The following is a 16,252-nucleotide window of genomic DNA, read 5'->3' on the forward strand; positions in this document are numbered from 1 at the left end:
AAAAACAAGCAATGGGGAAAGGATTCCCTATTTAATAAATGGTGCTGGGAAAACTGGCTAGCCATATGTAGAAAGCTGAAACTGGATCCCTTCCTTACACCTTAAACAAAAATCAATTCAAGATGGATTAAAGACTTAAACATTAGACCTAAAACCATAAAAACCCTAGAAGAAAACCTAGGCATTACCATTCAGGACATAGGCATGGGCAAGGACTTCATGTCTAAAACACCAAAAGCAATGGCAACAAAAGACAAAATTGGCAAATGGGATCTAATTAAACAAAAGAGCTTCTGCACAGCAAAAGAAACTACCATCAGAGTGAACAAGCAACCTACAAAATGGGAGAAACTTTTCGCAACCTACTCATCTGACAAAGGGCTAATATCCAGAATCTACAATGAACTCAAACAAATTTACAAGAAAAAAACAAACAACCCCATCAAAAAGTGGGCGAAGGACATGACCAGACACTTCTCAAAAGAAGACATTTATGCGGCCAAAAGGCACATGAAAAAATGCTCATCATCACTGGCCATCAGAGAAATGCAAATCAAAACCACAATGAGATACCATCTCACACCAGTTAGAATGGCAATCAGTAAAAAGTCAGGAAACAACAGGTGCTGGAGAGGATGTGGAGAAATAGGAACACTTTTACACTGTTGGTGGGATTGTAAACTAGTTCAACCATTGTGGAAGTCAGTGTGGCGATTCCTCAGGGATCTAGAACTAGAAATACCATTTGACCCAGCCATCCCATTACTGGGTATATACCCAAAGGACTATAAATCATGCTGCTATAAAGACACATGCACACGTATGTTTATTGCGGCACTATTCACAATAGCAAAGACTTGGAACCAACCCAAATGTCCAACAACGATAGACTGGATTAAGAAAATGTGGCACATATACACCATGGAATACTATGCAGCCATAAAAAATGATGAGTTCATGTCCTTGTAGGGACATGGATGAAGCTGGAAACCATCATTCTCAGTAAACTATCGCAAGAACAAAAAACCAAACACCACATATTCTCACTCATCGGTGGGAATTGAACAATGAGATCACATGGACACAGGAAGGGGAACATCACACTCTGGGGACTGTTGTGGGGTTGGGGGAGGGGGGAGGGATAGCATTGGGAGATATACCTAATGCTAGACGACGAGTTAGTGGGTGCAGCGCACCAGCATGGCACATGTATACATATGTAACTAACCTGCACAATGTGCACATGTACCCTAAAACTTAAAGTATAATAATAAAAGAAAAAAAAACTTAAAAAAAAACCATTGAGGAAATAAAAAAAAAAATTATCACAGACACATAAAATATCTGCATATCTGATCACCTTAACTTGCAATGACATTACTGATACTATATATGAGAGGCAAAGTAATTTCTAGTCGGAACTTCAAAATGAAGATTTTATTTTAGTTTTTTTCCATTTTTCTCCTTCCACTTGTCTCTGTTCCCTGCAGGTGTGCCTACCTTTAGGCTCCTGCCAGCCCCTAACTGTGAAACTTCAGCTAGTTCTCCCTACAGGCGGGACTCTCCAGCACGCCCGACTATTCCATAACTCCAAGTTACTTGCCTCCCCACTCTTTATAGCCAACAACTCATTGAGTCCCATGATTCTCTCCCACTCTTCAATTCCTTCTTTCCAAGAATAGTACCGGAAATCTAGCAGTGTTGAATCTCAGGCTCTGAGTCAGCCACTAGAGATGACATTCGTTTTGAAAAACAGAAGGCCTTTTAAGGCCTGGGCAACTGGAATTGCGTTGAGTAGTGTGTGTATATGAATATGTATATAGCAAGTCCTTGAATAACTTATTTCATTCAACATGGCTTTACTCAATGTTGCTTCATAATAATATTGATAAGAAATGAAATCAATTTTCCCAGACAGGGCTCCTGTTTGTATATAGTTTGCATGTTCTCCCTATGGCTATGTCGGTTTCCTCCCACATCCCAAAGACATGCCCAGCAGCTGAACTGGGTGTCTAAACAATTCTAGTCTGAGTGAGTATGGGCGCATATGTGAGTGCACCCTACAATGGGATGGATGACATCCTATCCAAGATTGGTTCCTGCCCTAATAGGTACGGCTCCAGCCACCCAAGGTAACCCTGAACTAGAATAAGCATTCAGACTGGGCCCCGTAGCTCACGCCTGTAATCCCAACATTTTGAGAGGCCAAGGCAAGTGGATCACTTGTGGTCAGGAGTTCGAGACCACCCTGGCCAATATGGCGAAACTCCATCTCTACCAAAAATATAAAAGTTAGCAGGGAATGGTGGCTCATGCCTGTAGTCCCAGCTACTTGGGAGGGTGAGGCAGGAAAATCACTTGAATCCGGGAGATGCAGGTTGCAGTGAATTGAGATCGCGCCACTGCACTCCAGCCTGGGTGACACAGCAAGACTGTCTCAAAAAAAATAAAATAAAAAAAAATAGAAACAAGTAAATAATTATCTTCCTTGTTGGTATTAATCTTTCTTAAATGTATGTGTCACTCCCATTTATTTCAATATTTAATGGAAGTGTTTCAGTCATTGTTTATAAGTTTGATGTTTTTATGACCAAAAATATGCCATAGGAAATTAAACCTTGTTTATATCAATTAGCCAATGGTAAAATGGGTTTTATTCTTTCCCTTGAAGTCTCAGTCTCCAACAACCTATTGATGACACTGAGGACTTACTGTATATATATGGATATGAATTTGTATATGAGCATGGATGTGTACATTATCCATATACGTATATGGGGTATACGCATGGTGGACCTGAATTCTATATCATGAGTCAGAAAGGAAGAAGTATTATAGCATGCCTTGTGCAGACAATAGAAACGTGAAAACATCTATATAATTCAGTCAGGGCCTATTCCAACAAAAAGAACCACCACAGAAGGATTAGTACAAAAGTGAGAACAACTTTAGTCAGGACCATGGATATTCTTTCAAATGTTGTTGGGATTATGGCTGGAAGAATACTTTAGATCCTCAGGGGACTTTCTCAGGTTAACACAGGTCTACAAAAGACCTCCTGGTGTATTGTCTTACCACTGAAATGGTGGCACACACGTCCCATGCCTGTGTTAGGTACCAGCATAAATCAATGTCAACTTTAAGAAAACAAAACTAAAGAAGCATCTTGCCTTCTCATCCCCAGCCTATTTTCTTAACAGAGACACCTGCACTACTTCCTTAACTAGAAATGACCTCTGGGATCCAAGCTGCACAGAAGAAACAAAAATGATGTGTAGTGAATGGAGGGAGAGAGACTCAACTGGATCCCTGAAGGATGGTGCAATATTGGCAATAGTTTTTATACTGCACACCCAGAGCCCTGCACAGCTTTTCTCAGAGATTCCTCTGTGTCATACATGTGTTCCAGGGGAAGGAGTAGGAGGGAGGGCTGAGTGGAGCCCCAGGCCCTTCACCCTCAACCAACCATCACAGCTCCACTCTTTCTGAGTAAATATGTGATCCCATTAAATTTCTATCTGCAGAAAGGATTCCCCAGACTAAAAACAGTGAACATACTGTTATAGGGTAACAAATTCTATATTTAGAATCATGACAGCTGGGTTCTAATATTGTCTCTGCGACCTCATCTTTCTGCACCTCCATTTGTCACTTGTACGTGCCTTCCACATAGAACTGTAGTAAAGATCAAGTGAGCCAATTTAAGGTATTTGCAAAACTGAAAAATATAATACCAATTTCAATGCAGGATTTATGGCATTAAGCTGACTACAGTCACCTATTTACCTATTTCATTGTGGAGCTGAAGGCTAACTTTTACCTTGCTTCCTCCACAATGTCAGAGATGATGTGGACCATGAAGACCCCATGGCCAGGATGTTATTCCTTTGCTCGGTAGTTTTGGAATGATTGTTAGGTTGTTGTTTATCCTATCTATTTGTTTTAGCAGCAGAAGTCTTTTTTATTTTTTCTTTTTTGTTTTGAAGTAAAACCTTACGTGGAATGCCATCACATTTTTAAAAATTAAAAAGAAAGAATAAAGCAGCCTGAACCAGTCGAAATGGAATTGGAGCCTTGTGGCTTGAGCTGACAGCCCTGGGGTGACAGAGCAAGACTCCATCTCAGAGGAACACCCCTGAGGTTCCTCTGAGGAATTCTAGGGCACAGCTGGTCAGAGTTGAATTACTCACTTGCCTCATATTTGCTATGTTAATACCACCTCCCAATTCTGTTTTGACACTGACGTTTTATCTTATCCCCTAAATCACTTTATTCAATACTTTCCTATTCTATTCTGAAGCAAGTGTGGGTTACTTCGAAATCTGTAGTGACATTTTAATTTTAATTAACAGTTAATTTGTCATTTTAATTAATTCATTCATTTTAATTTTGCCCTTTGTAATAACTTGAGCTTCAGTTTGAGAAATTGCCTTTTCCCCTTGCAAGTAAAGTTGATAGGGATAAAAGTTAAGGTGCCTGACTCCCATTAAACAAAAAGATGGCCAGGTAACTCAAGCTAAGCCAATAAGATTTTTTCTCAAGTCTCCAAATTGGAGCAAAGTTGCATGGGATGGGGGAAAAACAATAGTCATCACATGCATTAATCTTCATGATGGAATCCAAATACGTCTCTTGAGTGGTTCTTGAGTGAGGCCAGACCCAGACACCTTGAGCCAAATTGGCTCCGATCATGCCTGACTTATTTCCAAGCCTGTTTCTCCAGCATTCTTACCCATTCACAAAGCTACTTCTTATTCTTCTGATTAAATCCCTTTTGTTTAAATAAACCAGATTTTTTTGGCATGCAAAACAAAAACAAAACAAACAAAATGTGTGGTTAAGTTCACACCCTTAATTGCCCTCCAATTATACTAGACTATGTTTAAGTAGATAAATTCTAAAGGAATTCACCATGTACCTATAATATCTTGCGATGTTCTTCTTATACACAGATGGTTGTACAGGGTATTTTAAATATATTTTTGAATTTAGTTGCCAAACAATACAACAATGAACAGGTATTATTTTTATCCGTTTTATAGATGAACAAAATTCACATGTATTACATAACTTCCCTAGGCTTATATAGCTGGAGGGCAATCTCACAAAGACACATTGTTTCATTCCTAAACCCTGGTTCTTTCAACTTATATATTCTACCACAAATTAAATTATTTGGCTAAAGGAATGCTTTGCTTAGTGTCTTCATTGTAATTTGGGGTTGTGATGGTACTATTACATAATAATAAAATATAAATATTTTAGTATTTTTGTATGTTTTATTAAATATACTATATACTAATATATTAATCAGAATAATATTAGAAAATAAATTATTTTTTGTGCTAGGTTGAGAAGAACTTATTCACATAAACACATATTTCAAATGTTAATGTCATTCGTAGAATAAGCACATCCATGAGGTATCATATTTTATATTTCTTCCACATATATTCTTAGCCCAAGTCCTATTTCAGCTAAGCATTTACTGACTAAGCTGATCAAGCACCATTCACCTCTCCTGGAGGTCAGGAAGCACCTTGGTGTTTTATTAGTAATTCTGCTGATATGGATGAGATCATGTTTGGTTTCAGCCTTCAGACAGAAGTATTTCATCAATTTCCTAGAGGTTCTGGCAAATATCTGGCATTTTAAGTCAAGTTTAATCTCAACTCTTGATCTTTTCTTTAAGGAAATGCAACACTATGGACAGAAAGAAACAGTCAAGAATGTTAAGAAATGCATCTTCTTTCTGACCTGTGAGAACTGCAATGACATGTATTAAAGTTTAATCAGAAATTTCTCTAACCTGCTATCTTCCAAACTGCAAACCATGACACGTATCATTCACCTTTTAAACAGTAAGAAATCCACATTTTGTAAAAAAAAATGCACCTGTATGTAACGTATTTTAAACCAAAATCTATTAAAATTGCCTTCATATCAATATAAACCATAATATTTGTGTGTGTGTGTGTGTATATACATAAAATATTGATATAAAACATAATATTTGTGTGTGTCTGTGTGTATATACATACACAGTTTCGGGGCTCGATCTTTCATCAATTCATTTAAAATACTTATCTGCTCTGAGTACAAAAAAAATCTTTCTTCACTCAACAATCTCTTCATTTTTTCCAATCAATACTTATTTGAAGTTTACCTACTATGTGCCAAGAATTGTGTTAGGTACTGGCAATGAGGAAGAAAGATACAGTTCCCCAACTCCAGGGTTTGTAGGATAGTGGCAGAATAGGCAATGCATAAACAAACAAGTAAATACGACTTACAAACAGTTGACATATCCTGTGAAGAAACAAAGTGTCAGGAAACACTGGAAAGGGAAGCTAGTCCAGCTAAGTCACTCATGAAAGGCCCTTTGAGAACACCATGTTAATGCAGAGTACTGTATTGACATGAACTAGCAAAGGGTACAAAAAGGAATGTTCCAACAGAGACAGAAAAGAGCTCAGCATCTTCAAACATCCCATTAGTCAGTATGGCAAGAACTGTGATCAAAAGGAGAGAGTGGCACGAGATGAGTTAGGCAGGGGCCAGGCCAGCCAGGACCTCCTGGGCCAAGAAAAGGTGCTTAGGTTTTACTCGAAGTGCAGGAAGGCTAATCGGGAAAGTGAGAGGGTGTAATTTGTATTTTTATATCCACTCTAGCTATTGGATGGAAAATAGATTGGAAAAGACACCAGGCTATTGCAATAGCCCTGACAAAAATGATGGGATGGAGTGGAAACAGTAGAGACAGAGAAAAGCAGAAAGGATTTAGAGAGAGAGAAGAAGAAGACAGGCAGAGAGGCTCTTCATAAATAAAATAACTTTTGTGCAAAAGTATGTGAATAATTCATGCTCATCTGCGTGTTTAAGTACCGAACCAAAAAGATGAGGGGGTAAAACAATATTTCCAGTTCTATCAAATAGAAACATTCCCAAACGTACACAGCAGTACACATAATGATATTACATATACCTTTGTCCAGCTTCCTGTATTCATTGTTGAAATCCCTCCAAATTAGCTGTATAAATTTCATTAGTTTTTACGTGGGTGCATGAACATTTTAGATATGGTTATATTGCATTTTATTCATTTCTTCCTGATAGGTGGATTTTCACTTTATTGGCAGGATTTTTTCCTGCAACTATAAACAATGCTCTTTCAAATGTATTTATTATATATTGGAGTTTTTATTTCTATGTTAGAGATTCCCAGGAGTGGAATTGATAGGTACGTTATTCCACATTTTTTCCATAAAGAGCTATAAAAATCCCATTTCTATCAGCAATATATGACAATAAACTCTTCTGCACATATCCACCAATGGTCACTATTATTTGTCATTCTTTCTGGCCTTCCACACATTCTTCAAATCTGGAAAGCTTTAAATGACAGTCTCTGTCCAATAAACACATCCAAGCAAGACCTTTAATGAGAATTGACATTAAGACTAAATGATATTAAAAAATCTATTCTGACAAGGGCAGGAAGAGTATTACCTAAGTTAGAGAGGGAGCAATGGGAATAAAATCCAGTGAAACTAGTCTGGTTTTGGACGTGTTGAGTTTAAAATGTCACTTCCAAGTAGAGATTATGGGTAGGCAGTGGGATATATGTCTAGAGATCAGAAAAAAATGTGGGCTAGACATGACAACGTCAGCATATGGATGGGAGGGCATCTAAACCTACAGTGCTGGAGGATCTCAGAAGAGACAGATCTCCAGCCTGAATCTCAAGGAATTCCAAATGTAGAAGTCAGCCCAGGTAAGGAGAGCCTGGGAAGCAAACTGAGAAAGAGCTACCAGGATGATGAGCGGTAAACCAGGTCACTGCAAATTAGGAAAGTTAATGGCTTCACATTCTCTTAACAGATCTCATCAAATAAAGACAGAGGACGCAAGAGCAGGTCCAGGTGAATGCTGAGGTAGAAAACAGCTTGAGCTATGTGAAGGAGGGAATGGGGAAGGGCAAACCTAAGCACTAAGGGAAAGATACATGAAGCCATGTGCCCTGATCTCTTCATCCTGAACCTTTGAAGCCCTGGAGGGAGGATGTGCTCAGAGTAAGTTTAGAGGAATGGCCAAGGTACAGGGACTCCATTGCTGCCCTGTAGGGCTTCTGAAGAAGGCTGCTGTGACAGTGACCCTGCACCATCTACACACAGGGTTAGCAGTGTTGTGACACCAAGAGAGTCTAATCAGCCTCCTGGGTCTTCTTCAGTACCAGTGTGTGGGGCAAAATGAGTTTAGGCCTGCAAACCTGTCATGGGATCCGCGATGCTGAAAGGAAAGAAGGAAGAGTACAGGGCCCCTAAAGGATCAAAAGCCTGGACAAGGATTTTGATAAAAGATAAGGCAGAAACTTTAAGTAAACTGTCGTCTCAGTGAGAGTTGAAAGGAGGCAATGGGAAGGAAAATCAGAGGGTCATTTGGATCCTCACCTAGCCTGAAACAAACAGCTCTGCTGTCATGAGGCATATGTGTTCCTAAAAATTACCATGGAATGCAAAATAGGACAATAGAAACCACAGGGCTTACCAGACAAATGAGGTTTGGGCACAACATTCAAAAATTTCATCTGTGACACATTAAAGAAAAAAACAGATTGGAATCTGATAAAAATTCAAGCACAGTGTTACACGTTACATGGTTTTAAAACACATAAATATTACACTACAATAAATATGATACTTTACCTTGAAAAAGAGCTGAACTCTGCCTACAAAGTTGACATTGAAAGAGTTGCAGCTTGTTAGTCATTGAGAAGTAGTGGAAGGATGGGAGGGTACAACACCAAGTAAGGACTGGAGTGAAACATAGGGTAAACTGAGGCAGCTGAGAGCTGCTTGACGTGTGGCATATGTGTGTTTTACATATTCTTACAGGACATGGTTTTCCTGGGTACAGTTTTCAACATTGTTCTAATGTTTCTTGCTTAAGAAATTAAGCATAAGCAAAAGGAAGCAGGATTTATGCTCAAATTGTTCCCTGATAAATCAATTTCCTTTTCAAAACAAGCATTATAGCAGAACTGACCATACCCCATGAATTCATCAGCTGTAGATAGTAGCAGATGTCAGCAAAACAGAGAAAGGATGGCCCAATCATGTATTAGCAGATGTCAGGCAGGACACATTGGAGGACCAGCATTAGCGTCTGAGGACCTTTTCCCAAGGCTGTTCAGACCTGTAGAGCCCTGTATATAAGCAGGTTGCTATTTGAGAGAGGAACAGGACCAGAGGAGGGATTAGAAGTTTGAGCAACTATACAAAAGGACTAAGGAAAATCCAAAATGACTATAGGATAATTTCTTCAATCACTTTTACTTTTAAACCAGATTGTGGAATTAAATTTGGACCAATCTTACTCTCTGCCTACTACTCAAAGGGGCATAGGAGTTGGGCATATAAGACTAGATCAATTAAAGAGAAACAAAAAGATACAGTATTGTCATTCTTTCTCTCAAAAGCATGAATGAAGGTAAATGAAGATGTGCGTAGACAGCCACTCTGATAAGTTTGCTATAAAGAGGAATTGAGAAATGGGCCAATGACTGAAATGAAATATGAGTTCTACAATAGATTGTAGAGTAAATATTTTTTAAAGAAGATTAACCATTTTGCTATTTTTTTTTTAATTCAGCAATGCAATGTCAGCAAGAGACAGGGTTACTTGAATCAGATCTACCTGATGAGTTTACCAGGTTAACATGAGGGCAGTTATGAACTTCAATGGAACAGGCATTTTTGGGAGAAGAGAACGGTACAATAGCCAAGAAACAGTATAATTCAAGACAGAATCCAGTCCTACTTCCTGGTCCTAATGGATATAGGGTGTGATAAAACAAGCAGCGGCCCCTTGAGAGAACTTAGGGGACAGCAAAGAGGAAGGCAATGTTTCAAGAAGTAACCAACCATAGAAGGGACTTTGTTGATCACTGGTGATCTAGAGAGCACCGTGGAAGGGATGGCAAGGAGTAGAAGGGATGGGCAGAGAATTGTGGCTCATCAGGTATCATGTAGAACCATCGAAAGGAGAGAGTGCAGGAGATGCTCAATTGTCCAGAAGCTTGGCACTTCTGGTTGCAATCATGATGAGCACTGACCTAAGACTCCAGGACCCAGCTGCTGTGTTAAGCTGCTGCAGCCCTCAATATTTCGTTGGGTGCAGTGCCAGCTTCCAGGAGGCTGTTTCTTCAGAATGGCAGCTTCCATTAAGGAAAAGAAAACAACCAGCGCTCATTGAACACGAATCCAGGTCATGCTGTAGGTTTGTCATATATGTCTCTGATTATCTTACAACTGCGTGAATTGTTTTCTAATTTACTAAACAACTGAAACTCAGAAAATTTTAATAATTTGCCAATAAATCAAAGAGCCAATAGTCAACTTTAACTTAAATACTAAAGTTCATGTTGTTTCATACCCACCATGTTCTTTGTTCCTCCTACGGCAAATAACCTCCATGAACAATAACCTTGTTAAAATGCAAATTGTTGCAAATTCATGGAGTAAAGATGTCAGATGAAATATATTTCTTGCTTTGATATAGTATTTACCACTGTATTTCATACATAGAAGGAAGCGCGTTTGTTTTTCTGGTGAATGCACAACTGAACAATATTTAAAAAAGAATGTTATTAATTCATTCAGCCACCTTAGATTAGAAGATCCTTATTGAGAAATCATGATTCATTTAGGGGAACATGGCAAAATGAGGAGTGTTAGAATTACTAGAATGTAAGCTTCCAGTGCCAACAATAGCGGCGACATTGAATTTATAAATAGTACCCACTGAATGAATGAATGAACAGACCAGTGAATAAACAGGCTTGAGCCCAGCAACCTCTAATTAGGAGTTACTTGGCCCTGGGCAAATCAGACTATTTAGGTTCTCTGAACCTTTTACTTTCTTAAATTTGTAAAATAAAGATAATGAATGGCTTACTGACATTTCAAGTGCAGTCTAAAAAACCAGATGAAGGAAACAACAAAAACTAGCCTTTGTTGAACTGATGTTAAAGACTCCTTGATAAGCAATTTTCTCTGTATCAATGAGGTATGAAAATAAAAGGGCTTTGCAAAGTTCTTGCAAATGACCATTTATTAAATAACTTATAAATGAGGGTCTATTGAATAGTTATTGGCCTGAATGTCTAAATGACTGAAAGGGTACTCTTAGAACCTGGATATTTAGGAAGGGTCAAAGAAAATATCATAATAAACAAATCTGGGAACATATTATCCCAAGAAACGGAATAGGCAAGCCACATGTCTGCATTAAGACAAGGTAAGAGCAAATTACTAATAAAGGAATCATAAAACTGAATGCTATTTGTAGCTGAATCCTAGTGAATCTTCACAGTTAATCAGTGAGAAGACAGCCATGCCCCCTCACAGCTATTCAATCAGGAATCCCAAGTTAAATAACTAGAAGTCTGAACCAGTGTGGCAGTATAGCATAGAATACAGGTAATTTTTTTCAAAGGTTGTGCAGAAAGTCAAAGGTAAAACAAGAAATTCAGTTTAGCACTCCTTAGCTACAATCTAATTTTATATCCTTCAACATACATTACCAAGTTCATGTTCTCCTGTGAGGTTTTGAGTTATTTCTATCCTACACTTCTGTTTCTAGCATTTCATTTTGCTAGAATTCTATAACCAGTGCATAAAAAGTAGGACAAACGCTGCCAAAACATGGAAGAGCTCTTGTTCCAATGAGTTTATCACCCAAAGGCACAAATAATGTAGGGAAAGAAAAATGAAATCACTGTGTAGTAGCAAGTGGTATAAATGTAATTATTTTCAGACTGGGAACTTGGAACATAATTTCCTAGGAGAGAAAGTGAAAGATTAGCAAATACTAACACTGGAGACTTGCGTCTGAAGGGTAGTACTCACACGTTTAGGGCAAAGTCTTTGAGACATAGGAAGATGATCATAGCCACATGGCATCAGTACCCCCTCTTCCTCAAATAGAACATTCACAGCCTGGGTCTTATTTCCACCACTTCCAGGTAACATTAGTAGTACCTGTCCAAGAACATTTAACATCTGTGCCCTCCTATGCTTGTATACTTGTTGATAGCAGATTCTTCAATACTAAGGACCTTCAGGATTCTATGGCATCATCATTACTAGCATGAAGACCAGTGGCAATAATGATTAACATTTGCTTCATGCTTCAAGATTTGCATCGTGTTTCAGTTTCAAGATTTACTCACCTTCAGTTTTTAATCTTTCTCAAACACATTATGGGTTTGGAAAGGTATGTTGTGTATCTTGCCTAAAAAGACATTGAAATATGCCTCTGATCACTGAACTCCAAGTTGCAAAGCTGGAGTTCACCCTCCAAACCACACCATCTACTTTGGCTTTTTATAAAGCTTATTCTGCCGAATTACCTGCTCAGCATCCACCTGAAGTTATAAACCCTTCATCCCAAACAATTTTTTATTTAATATATAGTATATGTTGTCCATGTTCTACATAGTATTCATGGTTATGTTTTTAATGTATCCATATTATTAAAAGTAGCATATTTTCCCGATTGTTATGCATTACAGCTACTTCTGTTCATTACAACTTTTTAAATTTTCAACAGCTTTGGTGAAGAGTTTCATAAATGGTAGTCTTTTCTTCTTTTATTAGTATTTCCTTGGGATAGATACCTAAGAGTTGGATTTTCATAAGTTAAAGGAGCATATGAAGTGTTATAGCTGTTATAGCCATTGCCAAATATCTTTCCAAAAGTATTGAACCAATTTACATGACTAACAGCAATATATGAAAATGGCAAATGTATCATTAATTTTGTGTACGTTTCTTTCATAACCCAATAGACAAAAATAAATGTAATTCATCAAACATTTATTCAAAACCAACTATCAAGAAATTTTCTAGACTTCGGAAATGCAAAAATGAATAAAAAAGGCACCAAACTTATTCTACAGGAGCTCTGGAGAGTTTTGCCACAGATAATTCCAGAGACTCAGAAGGCAGGTGTTACGTGCAGTTGGAACACATGTGTGTTTGGTGATCAAGTTATTTTAATAGGATTTGAGTGGTGATGTACCTCCCAGCTTTGCACGACTCCATCCTGAGTAAGTCATTCTTAGTTGTCAAGGCTCTCAGAAACAGGCCATGCTCATCTATGTTCCACATCAAACCTGAAAAATACTGACTCATCAACTGTTCTTTGTACAGTTTCCAGATGAATTGATTGATTTGGAACACAGGTAATATTTCTTTTCAAATTTTCAGGTACAAGATGTCATAAATCTTGTCTGACTCTTCCCAGACACCAGAAAAAAGTGTCTGTGAGGAAGGAACACTAGAGCAGAATGAGAAAACTTTCCTTCAGTCCTAAATCTGCCACTAAATATGGGACCTATGGCAAGATATCTAAGTAGTTTGTGTCTCACGGATAAAGTAGCTGAAAGTACTTTTTCTTCCTACTCCATGACCATCCTGATTTGATCAATAATTCCCGTCTCAAGCTGGCTCTCTGCTGGAAGTTTGTCTGTCTTCTCAGATTCCCTTACTGCTTCATACTTAATCCCAGTCACAGAGCTTCATTCTGCAGTCAAGAGTCAGTCCAGCTAGTAACACCTCCAAGAAGTCTAATCTTTTATAATTCCAGCCAGCATTCATTTTTCCCCTTCTATCTCATTGGTAATGTTAAATTAAGCATTTTATAGTGAACCCTTTCCTAAATTGTTTCTTAAGTTTATATTATCTCTCTTTGCTTCTTTACTATCTTTACCCCCAAAGATGTAAGCAGAAGATAAAATTGTGTTTAATCCTACAGGACCTGCCACAGTACCAGAAACAAAGTAAGCACTCCAGCAATGTTTGTTTAAAAGTGACTGAAAGCAATCCAAAACGTCAAAACTTAAAGGAACATGATCTTGGAAAGGAATGAACTATAGAAAGGGGAGGAGAAAATTCTGCTTACAACCTCACCTCAAAGCATTTTTAGATTCTCAAGTCGTGCATCCATGAGAGAGGCTTACAGAACCCTGGGGAAAGCATCACAGGGAGAGAGAGAGTTGCTGACCAGCAACATTTACAGCCTTGCAGACTCGCAGAACTGTGGAAGTAAAGTTTGGAATTCTGGGGCAGCCAAGGTCATGGGTAAAAACTTGGGGGTTTGAGACCCTCCCAAAAGGGCTACAATGTGGCTTAGGTACTATGTTTTAGAAGTAAGGGCAGACTGGAGAAAAGCCAGCCAAGACAGATCCTGGAGCCTGGCCTTGTTTGGATTAAGGTGAGCTTCCACTAGCAGAAGAGTACTAAGAGAGCCAGTGAAAAGAATATTCAAACACTCCTTAGAAAGATAACATCATCCACAGTCACTATAAAGGTTTAAAATAGATAGATAGATAGATAGATAGATAGATAGATAGATAGATAGATAGATAGATAGAGATAGATAGATAGATGTATATATAAACATTGGTCATTCAGTGATTAAAATTTACACAAGATGATTGAAGTCTAATTTATATAACAATAAAACACAATGCAAATTTTACCATTTGATGAGCTTTTATGAATGGATCCACCCATATAAACATCACAGCATTCAGAAAATAGAATATTTTCATCACTCCATAAAGCTCCTTTACAATGCTTTGCTGAAAATTTCATACCCCTCTTCCCCGCCTTCCAAACACCGAAGGCATTACTTTTTCACTTTCTTAATGTTGTCTTTCAAAGAGCAACTAATCTGCCACTTCAAATTAGTTTGACCTGTTCTAGAATTTCACATATGTATAAAATAATGTGATATGTGCTTGTGACTTATTTTTGTTGCGGTGGTCCTTTTTAATCATTGAGTAGTATGCGTTATCTGAATATCTCACAACAATTTGATTTTCCATACAATTGTTTTTGGACATTTTGATTGTTTCTAGTTTGAAGCTATTATAAGTAAAGCAGCCATGGACATGCATATACAAGTCTTGTGTGTGTGTTTAATTTCTCTTGGCCTGGGAGTGCTATTGCTATCACCTGGTAAGAGTACGTTTAACTCCATAAAAAACATTTTCCAAAGTAGTTTGTACTCTCAAATAGCAACAGATGATGGATCCAGCTGCTCCACATCCTTGCCAAAATGTGGTTTTCAATCTTTATTTTTTATTTTTAGCCATTTCAGCGATTGTATATTGATATTTCTTTGTGATCTCCCTTTGCATTTCCTTAATGACTAATGATATTGAGAATTTCATAGCTTTTATTTTTTTATTTTACTTTTTTTGAGATGGAATCTCACTCTTGTCACCCAGGCTGCAATGCAATGGCATAATGTCAGCTCACTGCAACCTCTGCCTCTGGAGTTCAAGCGATTCTCTTATCTCTGCCTCCCATGTAGCTGGGACTACAGGTGTGCACCACCACGCCCAGGTAATTTTTGTATTCTTAGTAGAGATGGGGTTTCATCATGTTGGCCAGGCTGGTCTAGAACTCCTGACCTCAGGGGATCTGCCTGCCTTGGCCTCCCAAATTGCTGGGATCACAGGTGTGAGCCACCGTGCCTGGTCTTTTTTGTTTTTAGATTCTCACATTTTAATCTTTATTGAAATAAGACTTGGAACTCTTGTTTCTTACCCATGGTTCCTTTTTGTTTGTTTGTTTGAGACGGAGTTTCACTCTTGTCACCCAGGCTGGATTGCAATGGCACGATATCAGCACACTGCAACCTCTGCCTACCAGGTTCAAGAGATTCTCCTGCCTCAGCCTCCTGAGTAGCTAGGACTACAGGTGCCTGCCATCATGCCCAGCTAATTTTCGTATTTTTAGTAGAGATGGGGTTTCACCATGTTGGCCAGGCTGGTCTTGAACTCCTGACCTCAGATGATCCACCTGCCTTGACCTCCCAAAGTGCTGGCATTATAGGTGTGAGCCACCATGCCCAGCCTAGCTTCTTTCCTAAAGAGCTTCTTTCCCATTTTTTTTAATTGAATTATTTTGCTTCCTATTGAGTTATAAGGGTTCCTTGTCAGATGTATGTACTGGGGATATTTTCTCCCAGTCTGTTGCTTACTTTATTATTTACATAATTTTGTCTTTCAAAGAGCAGAAGTTTATAATTTTAATTGGTTCAATTTATCAATTGTTTTCTTTTATGGCTAGTATTTAAGGTTTCTAAAAAAATTTTGCCTGTAACATAATCAGAAATTTTCTCCTATGCTTTCTTCAAAAAGTTTTAGATTTTAGCTTTTAGTTAAGGTTCATAACCT

The 16,252-nt window shown here is 38.2% G+C and overlaps 1 annotated feature.

The window, feature by feature from the left end:
• Positions 15,268 to 15,769: an enhancer, noted in NCBI's record as "NANOG hESC enhancer chr6:23716734-23717235 (GRCh37/hg19 assembly coordinates)". NCBI's record gives its function as "activates a minimal SCP1, AML or CMV promoter by ChIP-STARR-seq in primed H9 embryonic stem cells {active_cell/tissue: H9 hESC(primed)}" and the evidence as "EXISTENCE:reporter gene assay evidence [ECO:0000049][PMID:30033119]".

Source organism: Homo sapiens, chromosome 6 (genome assembly GCF_000001405.40).
Source record: "Homo sapiens chromosome 6, GRCh38.p14 Primary Assembly".
NCBI lineage: Eukaryota > Metazoa > Chordata > Mammalia > Primates > Hominidae > Homo > Homo sapiens.